Here is a 25,636-nt window from a genome sequence, read left to right on the forward strand (position 1 = left end):
TCGAGGCTGTGTTCCCAGTGTGTCCCTCAAACAGTAGGTGCTCAATACATTTGTTGAATGAGCAAGCAGTTTATGGCATGAATTCAGCACAATGCCTGGTAGACAGTAAGCATTCCACAAAGGACAGCTTTTACTGTCCATTTCACAGAGGAGGAAACCTCACCTGAGGACGCTGACACAAGTATTTGACGAGTTTTTCCTATTTTATCACTCGACATTAAGAAGGTAGTCAGGGATGCTGGGGTAATCTAACTTGAGGAACGAATATCCCTCATTACAACACTTCCAAGAAAAATGGCCCTCGCAATCCTTTATAAAGAAGTCAGGATTCCAATAAAACCAGGAAGGACCACATTCCAAAGCAAACAAACTCGCCTCATTCCCCACCCTGGGGGAGGGTGTTCACCCCCGTTCTGCTAAAGATAGAGCTAGGGCCCTCCCCAGGAACTTCCTGGCTTTTATTAGTTTGTAATCCCATACGTAACTTTTCAAAGGTTTTTCTTTTGGAAGTGTGGGTGTGAAAATGCTTCCTTAATCACATCGAACGGGAGGATCTCCGACCATCTGTACTTTATTTGAAAACCTAGCATCCGGTTGGGATGTTTGGGTGGGTGGAGGACCCTGCCGTGTTGGGATGAAACAGCAGGGACACGTTTAAAACACAAGAACCATGCGCGGTGGCTCACGCCTGTAATCTCAGCACTTTGGGAGGCTGAGGCAGGCGGATCACAAGGTCAGGAGTTCGAGACCAGCCTTGCCAAAACGGTGAAACCCCGCCTCTACAAAAAAAACCAAAATAAAACAAAAAACAAACAAAAAAAACCACCAAAAAAATAATCAGCCGGGCGTGGTGGCGGGCGCCTGTAGTCCCAGCTACTCGGGAGGCTGAGGCAGGAGAATCGCCCGAACCCGGGAGGCGAAGGTTGTAGTGAGCCGAAATCGAGCCACTGTACTCCAGCCTGGGCGACGGAGCGAGACTCCGTCTCAAAACAAAACAAAACAATCCCACGTCAAGATCGCTTTGAAACACAGGCAGAAAAATTAGGCAAAAAATGTCAAACGGCTAATTACCTTGGCTCAGTTACACATTTACTCGAAAGCCCGCCTCCCCCACTTTTAGCCCCAGCGTTAAGAATGTAAAATAGGGCGCTTAGAAGTCTAAGCGATAAAGATCTTCTTACCGAGAGCCAAGGGACAAAACTCATTACAGATAAGCCTAGTCCTCCCATTTCCCCCGGACGCCTCTCCCCGATTGCTAAAGAAGCAGCCGCTCCCCGGGTAGCTGCCAGGAAATCAGTCCGGCCCCGCGGCGCTGCTTTCACCCTGCAGGGTGTAAGAGGCGCACTTCCTGCGCCCTCCCCGCGGCCAAACCGGGGTGCGGGAACCTTCTCCAGAGAAGCTGCGAGTTGGGGAAACTCCGCCACCGATCCATCGTGGCGCCGGGAAAGGGGATGCGGGGCTCGGAAGGGCTAGATTTCGCAATCCTGGGATCGACATTCCTCCCCTCCCCCACTTTCCCCAGCCTTGGACTGGGCCAATGAAAGCCCGAAAAAGAAAAAAAAAAAAAATTAAATCTCAATGTAGCCGGAGTGCAAAGGCCGCTCGGCTTTGTTTCCCGGCGGGGGAATGCGCTGTGTTGGAGGCGCGAACAGGAGCCGCAGACGGTGAGCCTCACCGCTGCAAATGCCAGGGCAGTGAAGCCGAACAGAAAACCCCATCGCTTTAAAAAGGCAGCTGTCCGCCCTCCCCCTTTCCCCTCGCCAGGGCGAGGGGCCCCTCAAGTCCGGGATCCGCGAGCTGCGCGGAGGATCTCGCCAAACCCGAGCACCGTGCGGCGTCTTTTAAGAGCTCGAACAACGGGAATCCAGCAAAAAACAAGCCGGCCCCAGAAGGCAGCCTCCCTCCTCTCTCCGCGCACGGGCTACAATCGCCCCCAGTCCCCAAACTGTCCCAGTAGAGGCCGCGCGGAGAGAGCAGAGCCGAGGGACCCAGCGCAAGGCGGGAGCCAAGCGCGGCTGCTTTAAGAACGCGGAGAGCGCGCGCCCGCCGCCAGCTGGCCCGGGCTGCGCGCCCCCGCCGCCACCGCGCGCCCCCTGTTCGCTCGCTCCTTCGCTCGCCGGCTTTAAAGTCTCTGCCAGGATCCATGCTCACATGTTACTTCCTGTATGGAGGCATGGCCAGTTTCCAGCCCCGCGCTCTTCGTTCCTTCCCAGCCTGCGCCGGAGCCACAACTTTCAGGAGCATGGACTGAAGGCGCCCTCGCCCCAGCGCCCCTCTGAGATCCTTTGTGTTTTCCTCCGTTTCCTCCGGCCGTTTCTATTTTGGGGGGCTCTCCGCTCCCCCTGCCTCTCCCCTCCCCTTCCCCTCTCGCAAACATGCCTCCTTCCTTCCCGGGGCCCTGGAAGGAGCTGCCTGCCTGAAGCCCGGAGACGCCGCGCCGCGCTCAGCCCCGCCGCCGCCCGCCGGCTCTCGGGCTGTGCTGCGCTGCCGACTCAAGTTGGGGATCCTCGGCTGCTCGCCGCCGCCGCCCGCGGTCCCTGCCTGCCCCAGGCCCGGGGCATCGCCGCCGGCCGCCGACTCCGCGCCCTGCCCGATCGGCTCTCTCCTTTTTAAACGGAAAGCAGCCTTTCTCCGCCGAGAGGATCGTCCCCAGCGTGGCTCTGCGTTCCCGGTCACTTTTTGAGATTTTCCGGGGGGCGCTCGGCGGCTTCCCGGATTCCAAGGGGACTCGGGCCGCCGAGCGCGGGGGGCCCGTGGAGCGGGCGAGCCGGGGAAGCGCCCCGGCTTAGCGGAGGCTCGCACGGAGGCAAGAACTTATTCAACAAGTTTACCTCCCTGCTTTCCTCTTTTCGATGTGCGTTTTCGGACATGCGGAGGTTACTGGAACCGTGTTGGTGGATTTTGTTCCTGAAAATCACCAGTTCCGTGCTCCATTATGTCGTGTGCTTCCCCGGTGAGTGCCGGCCGCCGAGGGGATGCGGCCCCGGCCGGCGCGCGTTGGGGATGCGGAGTTGTCGCCTGGGCGCGGAGCTCCGGCGCCCGTCCGGGAGACCCTGGAGAGGGTGGAGGGTGGCCCGGCGCCCGGATAGGAGAAAAGGATTGCTCCGCTGGCTTGGATGATGTTTAGGGAGGCAGGCTAGTGGTCGAGGAAGGTGGAGGCAGGGGCTGGCCGGGGAGGGGGCTGGGGGACGCGGGGGTCTGCTCCCGCTCCCTTTTGGGGGTCCTGGGGAGCTGGAATCGGGAGAAAGGGGGACTTGCTTTGCTGACTCGTCGCCGATCGGGAGAACTCGAGTTGTGGGGCGGTTGGGGAGACTGAGGCCATGGAAAGGATGCTTCTGTGGGTTTGGGGGGCCCGGGATGAGCCCCCTCGCTCTGGCGGGTATTGAAGGAACTCAGAAGGTGGGGGTTTGCTTTGCTGTTCTCCATCCCTTTGGGAGGGCTAGGTTTCGGGGAATGGAAGTCGGAGGCTGGCTGCGGAGGACTGAGGATGTGTGGGGAGCAGCCTGCGTTCTGGGTCGGGGGCGTCCTCCCTCTCTCTGGGGGCTGGGGCGCGGGCAGCACTTCGGTGCCGGCGTGAGGCAGCCTCCTTGGGCGCAGTGAGACGGCAGGGCGCAGGCGGTTTCGGAGAGATCCGTGTCTCCCCTAGCCCCGGCCCGTGGCCCTTTCCCTCCGCTGCTCTGCTCGATTGGATTGCCTGGGTCTGGACGCGGGGAGGGGGCGGGGGCGGTTTCGGCGGCCGGGGCGGTTTCGGCGGCCGGGTTGCTGTTCGCGCCGGGGCTGATTTTTTTCCTGTCTCGCGCGCCCTGCCTACCTTCATCTTTGCCCTTTTGCAGGCTGTTCGCGGCTGGCAGACCCAGTCTCGCTCCTTTCTGGCCAGGTTAAGACAGGAACAATACTGGCCGTTGATAAGAATAAATCACCGCACGTAACGGTGTGCGGCTCGGCGACCCTCCACTTCCAGCTCTCAGCTGGCAGTTCCCCCTCCTCTCTCCCCTGGGGAGGGCAGAGGCCAGCTGCCTCCCTCTCCTCTCTTGCAGGTCCCCCGGGCAGCAGCCCCGAGCTCCCTCGTAGCTGTCCCTTGGGGTGGAGGCCAAGTCCTGCCCTAGCCCGGGGAAGGGCTGGAAGAAGGGGTGATTTGCTTTTCATCCCTCGCTCCCCTAAGGACAGAGAATTCCCCGTTTTTCTGCCCTCTCATCCATCAACTCCTGCATACCCGGAGGTGGAGGTTATCTGAATCAAGAAAAAGAGGAATGTGCCCCGAGGTCTCCGCTCTGCCTGGTTACAGACGCCTGTCCTCGGGCGGCTGGAGCGCCCGTTTTTGGTGCAGCGGGTCCCTTAGTCCCGTCGTGCGACCCGGAGCAGGGCGCGCGGGAGCCCTCGTCGCCCTTGGGGATCCCCTCGGGGGACTGGCAGCGAATGCCCCCTTTGCAGAATCGGGGATGGCCTCGAGGGGCAGAAAGGGAAAACACCGTCTGGTATTCTGCACCCCCTTTTCTCTCTGCGCATCCTCCTGCCCGCGGAGCGGCACGGAGCTCCAGCCCAGAAACGCAGCTCGGAGGCCGAGCTAGGACGTGCGTCCACACTCACCCTGGGGTTTGCCCACTGGAGTCCTGCCTCTACGGTAGGACACTGGGGCCTGGGGTTTGCCCACTGGAGTCCTGCCTCTACGGCCTCTACGGTAGTGTAGGCCATGGGGACATCTCCCCTTAGAAACAGCTGCCTTCATTCACTAAAAGATCACTGCTCAGTATTTGGGTTAATCATCTCTCCTTTCTAGTCTCCCCTGCTTTACCACGGACTTGACGACTGAGCGGGCTCAGGTGCACACAGGGGTTGAGCTTTGTGAGGGCCACTCTTTAATGGGTGCAGTGGGAGGTCGTGGAGGGCTGCCTTGCAAATTAGAGGAATTTCCAATTCCACTTCTGTCCTTCTTGCGCTCGGGGATGCAGTCAGTGGGCTGACCGTGGTTTTCTTTTCCCTGGTGTGTGAGGAAGCTTGAGATCCAAAATGGGACTGCCAGGGAACCAGCCTTCGTGGGGCTTGGACCATTTTCGTCTTCTCATTTTCTTTTCGCGCCCACGCTGCGAGGTAAATAGCCCCTTTCCTGGTCCGGGAGCCGAGGGGTGTGGGAAAGGGAAAGGACAGTGGTGGGAGGCGCAGGGAAGAGGGCGGTTTGGTTTGGAAAAGTGCAGCCCGAGAGGGAGCAGCAGGCTTTGGAGCAAGGTAAAGTTAAAATATCAGAGCTCTGGGAGACGCTGGCTTTTCGTTTTCCGAGGTTGCCGCGACGCCGCTGGACCTCAGGGGGCGCCCCCGAGCCACTGGTGGGGCTCCTGCCACCTCCACACTGGTCGGCCTCGGCCACCTCCACGCCTCAGGGATGGGGCGCGCGTGCCCGGGTTCCCAGGCTCTGGGGCTGCAGACGCGCCTTGGCGCGAGGCGGCGGCCTCGGCCTGGCGATGCTGCTCCTGGCTTTCTCGAAACCCGCTGGGGGCTGGAGTTAGCCTTGGGACCCCTACTTCTTGCCTGCTATGACCTCGAAAGCGCTTATCTGTTTGACATGAGGGATAAAAATGCTTCTGTTTTGGAGTAGGGTCGTCCTTGTGAGGTCTTAGCCAAAATCCCTTTTTATTTAGTATTTTTGTGTTTCCTCTCAGAATCATAACTCAGCATAACTCTTCAGTTGCATTTGAGTTCTCAGCTCCTGTTCAGGATATGGGTTAGCTGTAGTTTGGGCAGGGTTTTGGAAACACAGCCCTGGCATGAGCTTTTTCCCAGTGGATTGGAAACAGTGGATTTTAGTCTTTGAACAGCAGTGTGGCAGGTTTGGGATCCATTCAGGGTTAATAATGCTTCAAGTGATGCTTTCCAAGTGCAAAGCTAAGAGTGTTACCAAACATGATATTAGGCATATTACATTGCTATATACATCTTTATAAAGCACTGTAGAAACGTTTACAAAAATAGCAAAATATAATGGATCCCCCACCCAACTTCAACACTCACAACTCAATCTTCTCTCATCTCTTCCTCCCCAACACCTTATTATTTTAAAGCAAATCCTACACATAGTTCATTCAAACTCTGATACATATCTCCAATCACTGGGAATTTAATTGCCTCTGACACAGTATAAAATATGTTACTTCAGAGTGTTAACCTTTTATCTAGTTTACATTCTCAAGCTCAGCAGATTTTTTTTTTAATTGATTTTTGTCTTTCGGCCCTCAGAGTGAAACTCTGGTTTTGATATGTTTTGTATTGTAATTACATTATATCTAGGATGCTGCCATTGGAAACAGTTCAGATGGATAAGCTCAGCTGTGTACCTTGGATGTGTCAGAATTGGAGGCTCCATGATTAATGTCGGGTGAATCATGAATCTCCCTCTAAGCTGTCTCTTATTTTATTTGCATGTGCGGGCTTTAGTTCTGATGGGCATCCGTTATGGCCTTAGGAAAAGGCAAAAGTAATATTTGGAAATCAGCAATCTTTCTCTTTACAGGGTGTGAGATTGTACAGGTTTTTTTTCCCTCTCCCTCATGTATCATGTTTGAAAATGAAGAATCTTTACCCAGTCTCTAAACTGGGTTCCTTTGACACAGTTATGGAATAAAATCTTTGATGTTTCCTTCTAAACAGTGTTCACATTTGAGGGTTGATGGACTTAAAACACTAATAAAGATAGGCATAAACAGGGCCTTTTGGAAATAGGGGAAGTTGCTGTTGTTGCTGAAAGAAGAAAGGTCATAGGAAGGGTTGGCTGATGTGGGAAAAGTGACTATTCCATAGTGAAGCTTTGAGTATCTCCCATTAATTATGGACCTGTTTTCACTGAATAAAAGATTATGTTGTTGTTTACATGAAGCGATCCAGCGAATGCTGATGATTTAATGCAGCAAAACAAACAGCCCTTTCAGATTTGCCTTTCTATTCTAAACAGCTCCCAAGTTAACAGAGTAGAATCAGTTATACACCTGTGTGCTGATTGAAAGTAACTTCCTTGGCATTCACGTGAGATCACTTAAAATGCCCTAGAGTAGTTACTCAGGAGCCTCTCCTACTCCCTTGTCTCCCTGCCTTTTCCTGGAGACTTCTTTTCTTTTTTTGAGATGGAGTCTCACTCTGTCACCCAGGCTGGAGTGCAGTAGTGAGATCCTAGCTCATTGCAACCTCTACTTCCCAGGTTCAAGCGATTCTCCTGCCTCAGCCTCCTGAGTAGCTGAGTCTACAGGCACGTGCCACTATGCCTAGCTAATTTTTGTAATTTTGTGGAGACGGAGTGCCGCCATGTTGGCCAGGGTGGTCTTGAACTCCTGACCTCAGGTGCTCTGCCCACCTCGGCCTCCCAGAGTGCTGGGATTACATTGCTACTGGGCTGTTGCTTTAACACTTTGCTTTTACAGTGACACGTTGTTTGTTCTTTTTAAATCTTGATTTCCATTCAGCATGTGGGACAATGAAATGCCATTTCTAGGCAGGTTGAAGATTGCAATATGCGTACATTCTGAATTAAGAGATTTAAACAATTGTAGTTAATACTGTCATCCTGGGTTACATTTCATGTGGTCACATTCCATAACCCGGAGCTTATGGGAAAAATTTAGGGCATCTGAAGTTCCCTCTAAAGCACTTGGTGCCCAGAAATTAGCCCTTGGTTTGCTTTGGTTCAGAGTTGACCTCTGTTAGATGTTGGGTGGTGGTCACTGAAACTGTTTTCGGCTGTATCCTGTTTAGAGAATAAAAGGGCTGTTTTATTAATATTATAGAAGCCAAGGAGTACACTGCTCCCCACCTTTAATTTTCCACCTGAGCTTGATCTAGGTTAAGCAGCCACTGACGAGGTAGAGGGAGTGGCTCAGGAGGGACTCAGGAGGGGCTGAGAAGAGCCTGCTCTGTGAGGGCTTCTTGTGGGATTTGGCAATAGTCACTGAATTTGTCCCAGAATGAGGTTGCCTGTGCAAATGATTAAAAGATAAAACTGGGCACTGTGGCTCACTCCTATAATCACAGTGCTTTGGGAGGCGGGAGGGTCACTTGAGCCCAGAAGTTCGAGACCAGCCAGGGCAACATAGGGAGACCCTGCCTCTACAGATAATAAAAGAAAAATTAGCTGGGTGCACTCTTTTGTCCCCACTACTTGGGAGGCCAAGATGGGAGGATTGCTTGAGCCCACGAGGTTGAGGCCGCAGTGTACTGTGATCATGCCACTGCACTCCAGCTTGAGTGACACAGTGAGACCCTGTCTCAAAAAAAAAAAAAAAAAATTAAAAGATCAAATGTAGGCTGGGCATGGTGGCTCATGCCTGTCATCTCAGCACTTTGGGAGACCCAGGTGGGCAGATTGCTTGAGCCCAGGAGTTCAAGACCAGCCATGTGCAACATGGTGAGACCTCATCTCTACAAAAAATACAAAAATTAGCTGTACTTGGTGGTATGCGCCTGTAGTTCCAGCTACTCCAGAGGTGGAGGACAGGACTTTGGGGCTGCAATGAGCTGTGATGGTGCCACTGCTCTCCAGCCTGGGCGACATAGTGAGACCCTGCCTCAAAAAAAAAAAAAAAAAAAAGTTCATTTGCCAGTCTGAGAAATGGGAGCAACCATCTTACTTGGAAACAAACTATATCCAGGACTAGGGCAACATTCTGTGCACTTAAAAAATCAACTATACTTGTGTAAAAAAGAGTTATCGGACTTGGCTTTGACTTATTTTTGGTATTGTGTTTATGTGGAGTTGTAACCAACAAAATCAATAAAAAGGATAAGTATATTCCAGAAACCTGTATTTACGTCTCCTTGCTTTTCCCTACAATTTGCCTGTTGCAAATTTCTAAGAACATGGGATTGTTAATGTCTCTTTAAAAGATGTCTTAAAGTAATACAGGTAAATTTCACTGTCAGGAAAGTCTGTGATGATTGAGATGTAGAACAGATAAATTTGTGGTTAACTCAGTATGAAAAGGATTGTTAGGTATAAGTGATGGCTGTGCAAGATTGCTTTAAGTAGCTAGAGGGCTTCTTGAGTGATTGTCCCCTTCTATTGGGACAACTATAATTGGAGGGACCATTTCACCTGGTATCATTTGTGGCAAGATATTTGGTGTTTTGACAGAAAAATATATTCTGTGTGAGATAGCTTGCTGGATCTATGCAGGCCTAAGGTTTTTATGATTGCAGCCCTTAATACAACTGTAAAAAAAATTTTTTTTTTGGCCTGGCATGGTGGCTCATGCCTGTAATTCCAGCATTTTGGGAGGCCCAGGCGGACGGAACATGAGGTCAAGAGATTGAGACCATCCTGGCCAATATAGTGAAACCCTGTCTCTTCTAAAAATACAAAAATTAGCTGGGCATGGTGGTGCACACCTGTAGTCCCAGCTACTCGGGAGGCTGAGGCGGGAGAATTGCTTGAACCCAGGAGGCAGAGGTTGCAGTGAGTTGAGATTGCACCACTGCACTGCAGCCTGTGCGACAGAGCAAGACTCCGTCTCAAAAAAAAAAAAAAAGATTCGTTTTAAGTGCTTCCAGGGATAGGAAGAGGAATGACAGCTGATGAGGTTTCTATATGTGCCTGGTTTCTGTTTTGGAAGCCTCCCAAACGGAATTGGGTAGTGTTTCACTTGTACTTGTGGTGGGTGTGGGGATGGAGGTAACTTACACATTGAATGAAAACTTCATGTGTCAGCCAGTTGATGAGAGTTGCCATACTATTTTGTCAGCATGTAGCAGGAAGAAAAATCTTTTAGGAGCCTGGAACTTGTTAATGCTTTTCTATTTGTTTTCTAAACTAGGTGGCTATTGAGAGTTATACAGAACATAGCAAAATAGGTAAGAATATGGCCTCTGGAGCCAGCCTACCTGTGCCATTGCTAGCCGTGCTACCTTAGAAAAGTTACATACCCTCTCTGTGCCTCATTATTTTTTTCTTCCTCTGTGAAATGGGGTGGTGATAGAAGCCTAACTCCTAAAGTCTTTGTGAGGCTTGAATGAGAATGTATATAAGGACTTAGTGCTGTGCATGGTAAACAGTAAGTGCTCAATAACCATTTTTTTAAATCAAAAGTTTTATATGTTTATTTTTATAGAGACCGGGTCTCTCCCTGTGTTGCCCAGGCTGGTCTTAAACTCCTGACCTCAAGTGATCCTCCTACCTCAACTTCCCAAAGTGCTAGGATTACAGGCCTGAGCCATTGCTCCTGGCCACCGTTTTTAAGTGTTCTTAAGAGATTTGGATAGGAGTGTATGGAAAGCGGACGGTGGAACTGAAAAGGACAACTGTATGTATAGACAACTTTTTGAAAAATTGTATAAACATACGTGATGGGTTTTTGTATCTGTCTTTGCTGTTGAGGGTGAGGAGGAGTAGGGATCAGCATGGGGACATTCTATGTAAGATTACTAACAGGTTACATTTTGAGGTTTAAATAAATGAGAAAGTCCTCATGAAGTCTGAGATATCACCTTGCCCACATTGCAAAGGAGGTCTCTGCTTTCTCAGCTTAAAGTGGGAAAAATGCTTTCTGTGGGCTTAAAATGTGTCTCATAAGTCTTCCAAATCCCTGTGTAGAAAGAGTCGCCTAGTCCTGCACCCTCAGATGTTAATTCCTCTTCTCAGGCTTTATGGACAGTGTGGTAATGGAGGGAAATAGGTTACTCATTACTGGGATTCAATTTGGCTCCACTGATGGGAAGCAAACAGTAGTTGGGTGTTTGCTTTTATTTTACACTTGTGTGACACTTGAACACATTGATGTCCTGTCTCTATATGTTCATGGATTCAGAGCTACAGAGCATATGAGAGAGAACCAAACACTGATGCACACCTCGTACCCTCTAATCTTTTCTTTTTTTTTTTTGCAGACTGAAATCAGCATGATATTTTTCTGGCCAAACAACAAAATGTGATTTTAAACTACTCAGTTTAGCTATTTTTGGGGAGTAGCAAAGTGACACAGTTGGCTGCTGAATTCTAGCAACTAAAAAAGAAAAAAATGAAAGCATAGTTCATGGAATATGTAACACTTCCATGTAAGAAAATAGGACAACTGGTCTTATTTTTGGGTCTGTGATACTGTCTTTCTAAGTGAGTGAAGCAGGGTGTTGTATAATGCAGTGGATATACTTTTGAGGAATTCATACTAGTTACAATATACATCTAAGAGGTATTTGAGTTTTCATAGCATTGCTGCCTCATGAATCCTGCAGTGCACTTAAATCAGATCTGTTCATTAATTGGGAATGATTTGGATAAGGGGACACAGCCATAAGCAATTGACCAAGCATAAAAGCATAGTCCAGATTAGTGAGGAAATATTACTGACTTTTTAAGGTTGTCTCGAGAACTTTTTAAGAATTGTCAAAAGGATTTATTTACAAAGCGGTGGTTATTTATAAATGAGTTCTACCTGTTTTTAAAATGACACTTTTCCAGAAGCGTTTCTCTTCAGTAAGTGTGGAGGCTTAGCTCTGTCTGTGGGTAGCTAAGGGTGGTTACCCAACATCTTACGGAAGTGGGGTTGGGTGGCGCTGGGGCTCTGGGAGTTTCAGATATACATATCTCTTATTCAGAATCCACACCAAAACCACAGAGACCTGGGTTGAAATTCTTAGTTCATTACAGCATTTACCTTGGGCAAATGGGCCTCACCCTTTTAATCTATAAAATGGGAATAGTAATTATAATAGCCTACGCTTACCAAGCACATGTGATCTATGCCCCGTGCTTGAGCATTTTATATGCTTTTAATCATCCCTGGAAGTATGAACCATGATTATTTCCACTGTAGGGTTAGGAAACTAAAGTTGAAGAAGGTAGGTCCAAGGTCACCGGGGTAGCAAGGCGCGGGGAGCGGTGGGGGGCGGTGACTGTAATATGTTTCTCTAATCATTGCTCAGGATTTTTTTTAAATTTTATTTCAGACCATTTGCTTTTTGAAGAGAGTATGGAAACTATTTTTCCTAATTGCACAGGAGGGCCAATTGAAAGATCTAGCTTTTTATGTATTTCACCCTGTTACTTTTCCCATATAAGCAAGTGCCATGAACACTGGGTGGAATAAAGGTGTCTTCCTGTACTTGCTACAATTAAATAAGTAAGTAATGCAATTAGTATAGGATTTTATTTGGTTACGTTGAAGAGATGACCTTTCAGCAAATTACTTTAGCTTCTGAATAAGCTGATAATAACTGTGGATAGAGTCTGAATTTGTTGGTGGTGAGTTTTTTTTTGACACTACTCCTCTTCCAAATTACCTAAATTGATTTGCTTTGTAATTTGAGAACTTTTGTTTGGGGCTTTGAATATGGTTACTTTGTAGTAATGCGGTATTTTTACTGTCCCATGTATATCATCTAAGTGTGGGCAGCAGGCTCTGAATCATAACTTCAGGAAAGGTCTGAGGGTGTTGTGTTTGGCAAGAAATGGCTTGGATTCTGCATTTTTCCTCTGGAGTTTGGAACTAGCCATGGGAGCCAGCCAAACCAGCTGTGGGATCTTGGGCAAGACCCTCAATTTCTTTCGGGTTGTTTGCCTCACCCTTCACTAAATGGCTTCTAAAATTTTTTTCTGGAATTTTAGAGATTGTTGATTCCAGGCTAGGCAGTTTGGAAGGGTTATGGTCTTTTTGCAGTATGCAAGTCAGATGCCCAGGACACACTGTGATTTGTGAGGTGCACTTGTTGACTTTTTCCTGTGAGGGTTTGCTTCCTAAGGCGTTGAGAACCCTTCCATTATCTTGCTAACCTTGCTACGGATTATCCTGAGGGAGTAGCAGACAAGGTGGTGAGTGGAACTTGGTTAATGGAATGCCTATAAGCTATGTTTTTGTTTGTTTGTTTGTTTTTTAAACATGAAACCTTATTTCTTCTGGAGACCAAGTTAAAAAAAATATGGAGATTTGCTCATGTCAACAAAGTTATGTGTATAGCGTTTAAAACTATCTAATGTGATTTATGATTGGAGTGGTGGGGGCAGACGTCTTTGTCTAAAATGAGAAACGAAGCTCGTTCTGGATCTTGTGTCTGGAAAGGAGAAATGGAGAAAGGACAGGCATTTATTTGGGTTATCTGGAATTCTACAGATGTTCTTTTGGCCATACTGCATTTAAAAGAAAAAATAAATTAAAAATTAAGAATGCATTAAAAATCAGTCATTTTGCATTCATGCCATCAACAAGTTTCTGGGTGCCTAGAGCATGCCAGGTGCTGTTCTAGGCACTGGGGGAGACAATGGTGACCAAAACAGATGGAAGCCCCGGCCCTCATGACAGCTTCCCGTGAAAGTGGGGTTACTCTTGAAAAATAGGAAGGTCTAGCAGCCTAGGGCCTATGTTAGTGCTTGGCAACAACATTAACCTGAAATTAAATAGTGCTACCCCTTGGGATGGGGCACACACCTGTCCCGTAGTGGTTATTTACAATACTCAGCTGGTCCCTGGAGGTGTTTGTCACCCAAGCATAGGTGATTTTCCTGAGGGACAGATTTTTTCTTTGGGCTTGTTTGGGGTTTTGTATTGCCTGGATTGGTCATGTATAACCATGTGCGTGGGCACATGCGCTAGTGCACACAGGTGCATTGCTGGCTGATGACATGACTTCTTTCCTGTCAATCTTGCTTATGAAGCTGAAGCTCACCTCTCCTGGCTGTGTCGTTTTCTGGCTCTACAAATGGCCTGCTCCTTGGATATTTCACAGTCATGTGTTGACTTCCCTGGTTGATTTGAATTTCTGTTAGCTTGTTCAGTTAAGACAAAAGTGTGTTTTGAAAAATCGCTCATTTAAGAGCTGGTTCTCTTGATCAGTTTCTTGTTATCAGATGGCCCAAGAAGGGGTATGATGTCGGGGGACAAGGGGGGGAAAGCCAGTGACTATTAATAGAGTAGGATCTGAGTACATTAATATTGGAGATGCCATATTAGTGGGTCCCTTGCTACTTAGTTTTTTTTACACAATATTGCTGCCCTCCTAATTTTTGCACATGGATTTCCAATAAATGATAGAAATAGTGCACATTTTAATTTTTACAACAACAACATGCGAAAGCCTGAACTTTGTACAATAGAGTGGCTAGCTTTTGACTATTACAGATGGAAGATTTGAGGGGATGATTCCTTCACCCTTGTTTTAGTACATGTTCATTAAGTGGTCACCGTGATACGCAATACATTTACATGAATTCCCCACATGTGATTCAGAGCCAAATTAGGCTATGTTCTTTGAGGGCAGGACCACATTCCTCCTTGTGCTGTGTCTTTGGTGTGTCAGTAGTGGTAGTCATGTATGAGGGCTGACAGAATGAGTAGATAATGCTCTTCAAATGATTATAGGATGTTTTAGAAGACATTGATGTCACTGTATGTAGTTTCAAGATATCTCATGTTTGTATATTGTGTCTTAAGAGATACACTATCCAAGGTTAATATCTTCCTTAAGAGAATTCTGAGTATATATATTGTCATGGTGGTTGAAGTTTATCTTTAAAAAGAGAAGCTAAATTCGTACCTTCTGTTGGCTGCTAAGGTATCTGTTGCTGAGAACGGGATTCCATTCTAATTAGAGGACAAATGTCTATAGGACAGCAGGGTTATGTTTTGATGGTTGCAATGGTAGTAAACCTTTTTTTTTTTTCCTCTCTTGTGGAATAATTTAAGCTAAATTCTGTGAATCTGGTGGTCATTGTATCAAAAGTGGCCTTGGCTCTTAGGTGATTCAGGAGAAGGTAGCCCTCTTATTAGTGCTTTGTTCCAGAAACAGTGAATGAGGTATGCAGAGAGCAGCAGAGCTTGCCTCAGCTGACAGTAGAGCGCAAAAATGAATGCCATTGCCCAGTAATGGCTTTGTGCAGGTTGGACTAGGAGAAGGGCTTGCCTGAGCTGATCATTTTTGCTTGGTTGACAAGTACTAGTTGGTCACCAGATCTACTGCCCTTGATGAGACAGATGTTGGCTGGTGCATCATGGTGATTCTAATGTGCACAGGCAGAAGCTAAGTTTTCTAGAACACATTGCTAGTCAATGCCTGCCCTGTTTTATCCCTCTTCCCACCAGTTGTTTTCTCTTCTAAAACTAGTCATTTTCTCTTATTTACATGTGTGTAAAGGTTACGAGTGGAGGGTGCAGAAAATCTCTTGACAGTTTTAGGCACTAGCTTCTCATTTTCCCAGTCAGTCAATTTGGGCAGAAGCTGCTGAAATTATTTCATGTGATAGAGGTTTGCATGCTAGAGGTCTTAGTCCATTTTATGTTGCTGTAACATTATCTGAGACTGGGTAGTTTATAAAGAAAAGAGGTTTATTTAGCTTACAGTTTTACAGGCTGGGAAGTTCGAGGGCACGGCCCTGGTGTCTGGTGAGGGCTTTTGTGCTGCATCATAACATGGTGGAGAAGGTGGAAGGGGAAGTGGACATGTGCAAAGAGAGGCAAAACCCAAGTGATGCCCTGGCTTCGTAACAACCCCGCTCAAGGGAACTAATCCATTCCCACGAGAAGTGACTCGGGCTTGCCAGAATGAGAACTCAGTCACTGCCTCGAGAATGGCACCAAGCCATTCGTGAGGGACCCACCCTCATGACTCAGACAACTTCCACTAGGCTCCACTTCCCAGCACCACCATGTTGAGGATCAAATTTCAACAAGATTTGGTGAGGACAGACCGAAACCATAGCAGCGCATAACTTTAGCGTTAGAGTTCTTTCTGAACATATTTTAGGATGTGGTTTTTAGAAGAACACGTCAGTTGCTAGTGAAGTTTCTTAACTGAAATGAGGGAGTTGCTGGTTCTTGAAATTTCTGCTGCTCCTTATGATGCGAAGTGGAGGTAAAATTGATTTCTGGGGAGTCTAGGGGAAATGTAAGCACTCTGACCACATAAACAAAGGATTTTGTGAAAATAAATCTTATATGCCTTGGAACCTTTAAATGGGGTTGAGGGAATGAGACTTGAAGACAAGTGGATTCTGATGAAAGAGGCCAGTGGCAAATGTGTATTTAAAAAAAAATGCATTTTTTTGCAGGTACCAGAGTGAATCCTAGCTTTGTCCTTTGCTAACTTTGGCCAGTTACTTAACTTTATTGGTTTTCTTACCTTTAAAATGGGGATAATGAGAATTTCAACCTTCTTGAGTCCTTGTGAATATTAAATGAGATGTGTGTGCAAAGCACCAGAAAAGCATTAGGCACACAGAACTTTTTTTTTTTTTTTTTTTTTGAGATGGAGTCTCGCTTTGTCACCCAGACTGTTCAGTGGCGCACTTTCGGCTCGCTGAAACCTCTGCCTCCCGGGTTCAAGCAGTTCTCCCTGCCTCAGCCTCCTGAGTAGCTGGAATTACAGGCGCATGCCACCACGCCCGGCTAATTTTTATATTTTACATAGAGATGAGGTTTCACCATGTTGGCACCATGTTGGCCAGGCTGGTCTCGAACTCCTGAACTCAGGTGATGTGCCTTCATCGGCCTTCCAAAGTGCTGGAGCTGATATTATAGACATGAGCCACTGTGCCCGGCTGGCACACAAAATTTTATAAATGGTACCTGTTTTTAATAGCCAGTGTTTAAGATTCATGAAACAAAAGTGTGCCTAAACACGCTCTCAACGAATGCTATGCCACTGTTGTGAAGACATGGGAGAGAGCTGGAGCTGTGACAGCAGAGATCCCACAGCGAATAAAGTGGCAGAACCAGAATCTGAACTGGCTTTTGGCTGTTGTCATGCTTTCTTCTGTGCAGAGCAGGAGTGTGATGAATTAAGGCTCACAGGGCTACCAGGAAGAGGTTTTTTGTTTGTTTGTTTGTTTTTTTGACAGAGGTTTAGCAAAGATGGCTTTTAGGATTTAATTTGTCCTATATCTCCCACCTTGAAGAAAAAGGTTCATAGCTACTCTTCATATTCTCATTGCTGAAATTATCAGCACGAGTAGGGTACACATGCCTTGCTGTATATCTTTGTGTTAATATGGGGCCAGTCACACCCCCTAGGTGCATATAAACAGGGACATTCAGTGAAAGTGAACAGCATATGTCTTCTTCCTGTCCCTGTGTGTTATTTTGCAGTTTTTCTACAGAGGAATTGGAGGTTGGCATTTGAGCCAATGGTCCCCATTCCCATAGCTGTGGTAGATGTTGCTAATTGATCACAGAGCTTTTTGCTACTGAAGCCTGAACGAGGTCTTAGAATCATTTTCAATAGTTGGTCTGGGAGAGGACTTTTGTGCCATCTCTGTGCCTATAATAAGGCAGATTAACCAACCTTCGAAAATAGCATGAGAAAGAGAGGTGTATCCAAGTGGCTACTGTATTCTTGGAAATAGGTGTGCTGCTACATGGGCAATTTTTAAGGTTTGCTTGTCCATAAAATTGATTTGAACTTATATTTGACTCACATTTGTTTATTCAGAAAAAAAAATCCAGTCTCTTGATGGTGGTTACATCATATTTTAATTGGTAAGATCCACTAATGGAGGTATAGGGATCTAAATTCACTTGCTTATTTTTCCTTCAAAGCCCAGGGGTTTTGCATCAGATTATGGCGCTTGTAGGAGTGTTTATATTCCGAAGTGACACCTTTCTGAATTCTTAGCTATTTAAGTAAGTGTTAAGAATGGGCTTGGTGACAGCAGTTTTTAAAACTGTGATTGACTTATTGGATCTTTTCCCTCTGTTGTTTATACCTGACAGAGTATCTTATGTTTGTTCTGAATAAGTTGATTGTTACCTTTAGGGTAGCTTGTTTCTCAAAATTTGAGTGGTCCTCTGATCAGTGTTATTTTTGATAAGGAAATTGAAGAGTAGGCATGAAAGGTGAAAGGAATTCATTTGCAAAGCTGACATCAGATAAATTTTAGGTGCTTGGTAACATACCAAGTACTCGGATGACATCAGGTAATCCCGTATTTGTTTCCTGTATATGAGTTTTTCCACCTCAAGATTCCTTTTGATGTTGAGCCTTTGCTTAATGAATGTGAAATGTCTATAGAGCTCTCTGTTCAATATGGTAGCCACCAGCCACCTGTGGCTAGTAAACACTTCAAGTATGGCATGTCTAAATTGAGATGTGCTTCAAGTGTAAAATATACACCAGATTTCAAAGACAAATGAAAAAAGAATGTGAAATATCTCATTAAAACTTTTCATTGACTGCCTATTAAAATGATATTTTAGATATATTAAGTAGAAAATGCCATTGAAATTACTGTCACTTGTTTCCTTTTACTGTTTCATGTGACTACCATAAAATTTTAAATTACACATGTGGCTCGCATTTGTAGCTCGCATTGTATTTTTATCGGACGGCACTGGTCTAGAGAGCTCTTTCCAACCTTTTCTCACCTTCCAGAAGAGCATTTCACAGCTGTAATCCCCTGTGTGACATTGATTACCTGTTTTCTCTTCCCTACCCCTTCAAAATGTAGGGCTAAGAGAAACTCTTGTAATTGATGGAGAAGGTTGTCTCCTAGAAGATACTGCCTCTGGGATATTCCGGGTATGTTAGGATAGCAGGTTAGGGTCATTTAGCTTTGTGTGCCTGTTTACCCATCTGTGAAATGGGTTTAACAGTCCCTGCTCTGTGAGGTTGTTGGAGGAGTAAATGAGGTAAACCATGTAAGGCATTTGGCACAGGCCTTGGCATCTAGGGAGCACTTGAAAATAAAAGCCGTTGTTATTATTTTACCAGCTCATGAGTAGACATTTAGCAGAGTTCCTGGCATTGATTTCTCCCTCTCCTAGTTCCTGTTGGTGCTACATCGTGGGACCTGTGTGGGTTGCAGACTGGTCCCTGCTACCTAGAAAATCCAGGAACAACATCTCGCTTGAGCTCCTGCTCAGCAATTTGAAAGGTAGAAGGGAACTTGGAGATTTTCAGAGATTGCACACGGCCTGCGGAAGCTTCTTGACAGACTGATATAATCCATTGCAGCAATCAGCCCCTGGTGCCTGATGAAAGAGCTTTATAATTTCATGTATTTCATGAATAGCCAAGCTCATTTAGGATCCAAGCTGTGGACTCCAGGGTATTACCAGTGGTCCAGGCTTTAATACAGCTGTGGATTTATTTGACCAGTTGGATTGGGTGGTGGTCTCTGCATCTGAGTAGTGTAGAGACATCCAAAATCCCCTCTTGGGATGTTTGGTTCCTTTCTCCAACAGAATGCTAAAATGGGTGGCTTTTCCAAGTAAGGTGAATATTCTCTACTCTCCAGCCTGCTACTTAATTTGGAAATTAAAATGTGGAGAATGTGAGAGGCAGACAGGACATACCCATCTGAGAAAACAGTTAGGTCTGCCCAGAAGGGCTTCTAGCTTGGATCCCATTGAGTCCATGTGCATCCACAGGCCAAGGAAATGGGCAGTGGTGGCTAATGGCTAGGGAGGGATGCAAAGGCACAGCTGGGAAAACCCCATCCCTGTTTAATTGTTTTTGAGGTTCCCCCGATGGAAATACTTCCTTCCCAGGGAATGTTTGGCAGGGTGGACACATGCCCTTTGTTTGGTGCAGGTGATAAGAATCTGGGTTTCAGTGGTAAGTTCTTTTACGAGGGATAAACAAGGATGTTAAAGTCTTGCAGTTAGTGTGTTGAAGGGGCGCTGGAGGATCCTCAGGCCCCATCTCGAGCCTTGGAAACTCAGGGGAGGGCTTCTGAGAGCAGCCTGTGAGTGTCCACATGGGAGTGGGAACAAAAAGAGTTCCCTGAGGACTAGCTAATACCCTCCAGCAGAGCCAGACTTCAGAGTGACTCTGAAAGAGACTAGTCCTTCAGACCTTTCTGTTCACACGGAACTTTGGCCAAGTTATCTCTTGCTACGTTATCAAGGCAAACCCTTTCTAGGGAGTGCTGTGATCACCTGCATCTGCCTCTAGCGACAGCTCCCTCTCCCCGTGTCCCTTCATGGGGTCTGGGAGTTTTACTCTTGTGTAGTATTTTCCACTGAAAGCCCCAAGGGAAGAACATCTCCTTCACCAGGGGTGAGGGAGGGCATCCTGAAATTCTGCTGCTATTCCGACACGTGTTTTTTACAATGTGGCTAACACAAACCATTTTTTGAGCACCTACTGTGAGCATGAGCTGGTAAAATAAAATAACTTCATCTTAGGGGCTGGACACACTTTATCTGTAATTCATCCTTGCATTTTCCAGGTGTAAAAGTTGAGGTTTTGCTAAGTTAAGAAATTTGCCCTGTATCACGTAACTTGGAAAGCGGCGAAAGCCAGGCTTCTGACTCCAAAGCCAGTGCTCTTCTTTCTAACAGTGTGGTGTTTCTGTTCATACATGGATACCATCTACGCGCAGCTTGTGAATTGCACTTATTGGATTGAATTTTGGGTACTTTAAGAGCTGAGTTCTGAAAAGGAGAAAGGCCAGGTGAGCGAGGACAGAAGGCTAACTTAGACTGATATCTTCATTTTCTGGCACTTGGCCACTGTAGGGATACATGGAGTAGGGTGAAGTCTTTGTATACACAGCTGACCCTCGAACAACATGGGTTTGAACTGTGTGGGTCCACTTATACATGGATTTTTTCTTCAATAAATGTCTTAGAAGATTTTTTGGAGATTTGTGACAATTTTTAAAAAATCACACATCAACCATGTAGCTGAGAAATATTGAAAAAAATAAAAAATATGTCATAAATGCATAAGATGCATGTAGATACTAGTCTGTTAATGTGTTAACTGATGGTTTATGTTATTAGTAAGGCTTGTGGTCAACAGTAGGCTATTAGTAAAGCTCCTGGGGAGTCCAGAGTTGTACTCTGAGCCAGGCACGGTGGAACCTGTAATCCCAGCTACTCTGGAGGCTGAGGCAGGAGGATTGTCGGAGCCCAGGAGTTTGCAGCCAGTCTGGGCAACATGGCGAGACCCTATCTCAAACAAACAAAATTAAAAAACAAACAACAGTTATACTCAGATTTTCGACCGTGCAGGAGTCAATACCCTTAACCCTTGAGTCGTTCAAGGGTCAACTCTATTCTGATTTTTTTTTTTTTTTTTTGAGACGGAGTCTTGCTCTGTCTCCAGGCTGGAATGTAGTGGCGTGATCTCAGCTCACTGCAACCTCTGCCTCCCAGGTTCAAGAGATTCTCCTGCCTCAGCTAATTTTTGTATTTTTAGTAGAGACGGCGTTTCACCATGTGGGCCAGGATGGTGTCCATCTCTTGACCTTGTGATGTGCCCGCCTCAGCCTCCTAAAGTGCTGGGATTATAGGCGTGAGCCAATGCGCCCGGCCATCTGATTTATGGTTGATAAAATACTATAATGTATTTTAAACTTAGTAAGTGTTACATATGTTAATAAAAGTAAGGGAAAAAAACCTAACTGGGTAAGTGTGTTTTATTCCTGTGGCTAAGAATAAAATAAAAGGACTTAACGATTATTATTTTCTTTTGGCTGCAGAAACCCTTCAGTAGATCTTCTTAAGTTACCTTGGGTAACAGGATATAATTATACCCTTGGTCTGCAGAGGGCATGTTAGCAAGGTACTGTGTGATTTGTACTGGTTTCTGGAGGTTTTGGAGTAGTTACAGGGAAGTAATGTCTTGATGGAGAGAAAATATTTGTGTTTCCCTCATTGGCATGTTAGTCCTAGAGCATAGCAGACATGCCTTCTTGCTTTCTGACTTTTCAAAGCCTGGGCTTGGTCCATTCTGATGTTTTTCTCAATGGTATTTTTTTGTACCCATCTATAGCCAAGGAAGCAGCCATGTAGCCAGGGATGAATTTTAAACTTCTCTGGAGGTGGATACTCCTTGAATAATGAATCCCATCTCACTGTGCTCTCAGTTAGTTCTAGCCTGGAGGAGGCGTTGTAAATCTAGTCGTTAATTCCCCCAGAGAAAGTTGCCAGGGTTTGTTTTTGTCTTTCTTTCATGCCACACCTGTTAATTAGTTCCAGACACTAGCTAATCAGACTCAAGTGTAAAAGCTCTGGGGTAAGAAGGAAGGTCAAATCAGCGGTCTTTCTCCACACACAACAGAAGCCCTGGTTTTAGTAGCAAGGTTTCATGGCATCCTTTTCCCCACCTTAGTTCCCTGACTCTGCATTTGATTCATTTCTGAGTGCAGGCTGTGCGTAGCTCTGGGGCTTTTTGTCTTCTGTGGTGTTAGGTTTGTGCTTCTCAGTTTTAGAGCGTGTGGCCACGAGAATGTGAGAGGGGGAGCAGGGCAGAGTTAATGAGAGAACCCATGGTTGCTTCTTTTTTTCTTTTTTTTTTTTTTTTTTATGAGACAGTCTCGCTCTGTCCCCCAGGCTGGAGCGCAGTGGCACAATCTCGGCTCCCTGCAACCTCTGCTTCCCAGGTTCAAGTGATTCTCATGCCTCAGTCTCCCAAGTAGCTGGAATTAGAGGCACGCGCCACCACGCCCAGCTAATTTTTATATTTTTAGTAGAGACAGGATTCCACCACGTTGGCCAGGCTGGTCTCGAACTCCTGACCTTAAGTGATCTGCTCACCTCAGCCTCCCAAAATGCTGGGATTACAGGTATGAGCCTGTACCTGGCATATAGGTCCTTCTTTATCTTGGCATGTACTGTACTCTTATTTTATTTTGTTTTGTTTTATTTTTATTTTTATTTTTTTGAGACAGAGTCTTGCTCTAACACCCAGGCTGGAGTGCAGTGGCGTGATCTCCCCTCATTGCAACCTCCCCCTACTGGGCTCAAGCCATCCTCCCATCTCAGCCTCCCGCATAACTGGTACTACAGACGTGTACCACCATGCCCGGCTGATTTCTGTATTTTTTGTAGAGACAGGGTTTTGCCATGTTGCCCAGGCCGGTCTCAAACTCCTGGTCTCAAGTGATCCACTCGCCTTGGCCTCTCAAAGTGCTGGGATTACAGGGTGTGAGCCACTGCACCTGGCCCTTATTTTGTTTTATTTATTAATTTTTTGGTGCTGGGAATGCTGAGTATATCATATATTCATACATGTCATTATATCTAAATGATAAAAATCACAAGAGTAGCAACCACATGTAGCCAAAGTGGAAAGCTGTCCAGTACATTCTTTTTCGTCCTGGCACAACTCTGAGATTGATGCTGTTTCTCTAGGGGGGAATGGGGACAGCATGAGATAGAACAATTTATCCGAAGTGGCGAGTGCAGCCAGGACGTAGCCTGATAGGAACCCAGAAGCCTTTGCCTATGTTTGATAAGAGTGGAATTCATGTTAACTTTAACCATGTATTCTGTGTTTGTTGGGATGCTGTGAAGGGAAGGATGACCAGGCTCACTCTTGGGTCCAGCTGTTGACTTCTGGACCTTCCTGTTTCCAGGCTGTAGATACAGAAATGAATGCCTGAGATGTCCAGTGGGACGTTATGATTTTTAACTATTAGGGAGTTTCCTCTTGTACATTATTGCAAGGAAGATAATGGATTCAAGTCAACTGTTAGTGGAAACGCCATGTGTTAGCACTTTGCTTCGGGTTTTGGGGGTTCAAAAAATGTGTGCAAAAAGTCCCTAAAGCAATGTGTTGCAGTGTAAGACTGAAGCTAATAACATGCTGAAATACTGATTCAGATCCCAAGTGTTCAGGAGCGATAGAATAATGAGATAAGATACCTTCCTACGGGTATCCTGGCTGGTATTTTATGTACACAATGAAGTGAACACAAAGTGAACAGAGGCAATAATGAGCATACGGTGGTTGACCATGAGGCAAATGGGCTTATTCCTAGAGATGAATCATGCATGTCTGGGACTTGGACCCATATCTGCCTTGTATCTTAGGTGCTTCCTCATGGTATAAAGCCATTAGTGACTGCTAGCTGGCAGATGGGCCCTGCAGAGATTTGAGAGGCTTGGGAGCCAATGTTGATACGCATGGGAGCCAATGCTGGATGCATTGACTGGCCCCTGAACGCAAGGCTGAGGCATTGTCCATGGAGACTGAGCACAGGGAAGGGCTCAGTGGCTTCCTTACAGTGGTCTTGTAAACTATAGTGTCTCTGTGCTTGCTGGTCATGGACTAGCTTTGTGTCCTCAGGCCCCAGTACATCTATAAGATGGGATGATGATCCCTGTCTCATAGAGCTGATGGAAGAATTGGATGCGGATGTAAGTAAAGCACTGGTCCCTAGCAAACACATGATTATTGTTGTTTTTATTGTACTGCTATTATTTTTGCCTGCCTAGCATCTCTTTTAACATTCTTTGCTAATAGGACCTTTGCTACTCTTTGGGTATTGATCTCCTCTCCTCTCTGTGTTCTTGATGGGATCATCTGCTGATTAAGGAGCTCTGTCCACACCTTTTTGAGGGTGGTAAAAAACTCAGGCTGGGCTCGATACACCTTTTCTCCCTAGAATTGGCATCTTGAGCCACGTGACATGAAGACATCCTCATCTTTCTCAATTCCTGCTCCCTGAAGCTCAGAGCCACTCTGATCCTTGCCCTTTCAAAGCTGGATTGTTTGGTTCTTGGTTGGTGTCTCTGAGATGTCCAAGGTTCTCTCAATACATTCTTTTAATGCCTACGTTAACCAAGGGTTGATTTGGGTCATTTTCAATCAAAGGGCACCAATATCAGCTGGAAGTACACAGAAGGATAGATAACTAGATGTGTTGAGAAGGACAGGAACCTTCTCCCCTGCCTGCCAAAAATAATCCTTTAATAGTGGTTTCATTTCTTTGTTTGGTTTTTCGAGTTCATTCATTTTGAGCTTTTTATCTTCGGGAATCTGAGGACTTTTATTTTGGTGCTAGGGACAGCCTCTCTGGAGGAGACATGCTGATAACACTTAGCCTTAACTGCTTCTCTTGATTTTATTTGTAAATTAGAATCCTAAGGATCTGTAAGGAAATGAGTAAAACTTAATTGTACAACATTTAGAGCCTGAATTAAAAATAATAATAAAAAGAGTCTATAATGGTAAGAGGCCCTGGAGGATGAGATGAATGCTGAGCTGTGTGTCTGGGCATGTATTTTGTCCACACCTAATCCTTTCTGTCATGTTTTAACTACTCCTTAGAGTGGAGGTCAGCAGTGTCTGATTACCTCCAGAGTTCCTCTCTCTTATCGTATCTTGTCCCTCGCTCCATTTCCTTTTCTGGCATTATTGGACAGCAAGTGTTACAACTTAAAATCAATACGAAGCAATTTCATTTGTTTATAACTATGAAGATGAGCGCTTCCAGCAGAGCACTGTACTTTCAAGTAAAGTTTAGGTTTTTTTTTTTTTTTCTACTTTTTCTGTCTGGTGCCCAAAATGCATTAATTTTTCATTGTACGAGTTTGCTTATGTTATCCCGCTTTGATCTAAGGCCTTGTTACCATCATCATCTCTTTAAAACTGGGATTGTTGGCATCTGAATCATTTTTGTGTTTTGTAGGTCCTTAGTAATCACAGCTCCATTGAGTTTGTCCAGCCCTCACACGGAATCTTATTAAAAATGCAGCATCTCTGCCTGCCCCAGACCAATGGAATCAGAATTTGTGTTTCAGCAAGATCGCCAGGTGACTTGGTACATGTTGGAGTTTGAAGACTGCTCTGTGTTTGAATGGGATGTCATTCTAATCTCCACGTTTCTTCATAAATTTTTCACTAATTATTGAAGTATAGCAAATGTTCGTTACAGAAAATAGGGGAATTCAGCTGGGTGTGGTGGTTCACGCCTGTAATCCCAGCACTTTGGGAGGCTGAGGTGGGC

The 25,636-nt window shown here is 46.0% G+C and overlaps 1 protein-coding gene across 4 annotated transcripts in view, besides 1 other annotated feature; it reads left to right on the plus strand.

Annotated features, from left to right (window-relative positions):
* Positions 254–929: an enhancer, noted in NCBI's record as "H3K27ac-H3K4me1 hESC enhancer chr3:61545347-61546022 (GRCh37/hg19 assembly coordinates)". NCBI's record gives its function as "activates a minimal SCP1, AML or CMV promoter by ChIP-STARR-seq in primed H9 embryonic stem cells {active_cell/tissue: H9 hESC(primed)}" and the evidence as "EXISTENCE:reporter gene assay evidence [ECO:0000049][PMID:30033119]".
* The window catches only part of PTPRG (protein tyrosine phosphatase receptor type G), a 736,039-nt gene continuing 712,554 nt past the window's right edge, over positions 2,152–25,636 (plus strand). For all 4 annotated transcript variants that reach the window (XM_017006961.2, XM_017006963.2, NM_002841.4 and 1 more), the window contains exon 1: positions 2,152–2,953. In XM_017006961.2, coding sequence (XP_016862450.1) covers positions 2,869–2,953 — 85 coding nt within the window. In that variant the 5' untranslated portion in view covers positions 2,152–2,868. The remainder of the gene's footprint in view (positions 2,954–25,636) is intronic.

This window comes from Homo sapiens, chromosome 3, assembly GCF_000001405.40.
Source record: "Homo sapiens chromosome 3, GRCh38.p14 Primary Assembly".
Classification (NCBI taxonomy): Eukaryota; Metazoa; Chordata; class Mammalia; order Primates; family Hominidae; genus Homo; species Homo sapiens.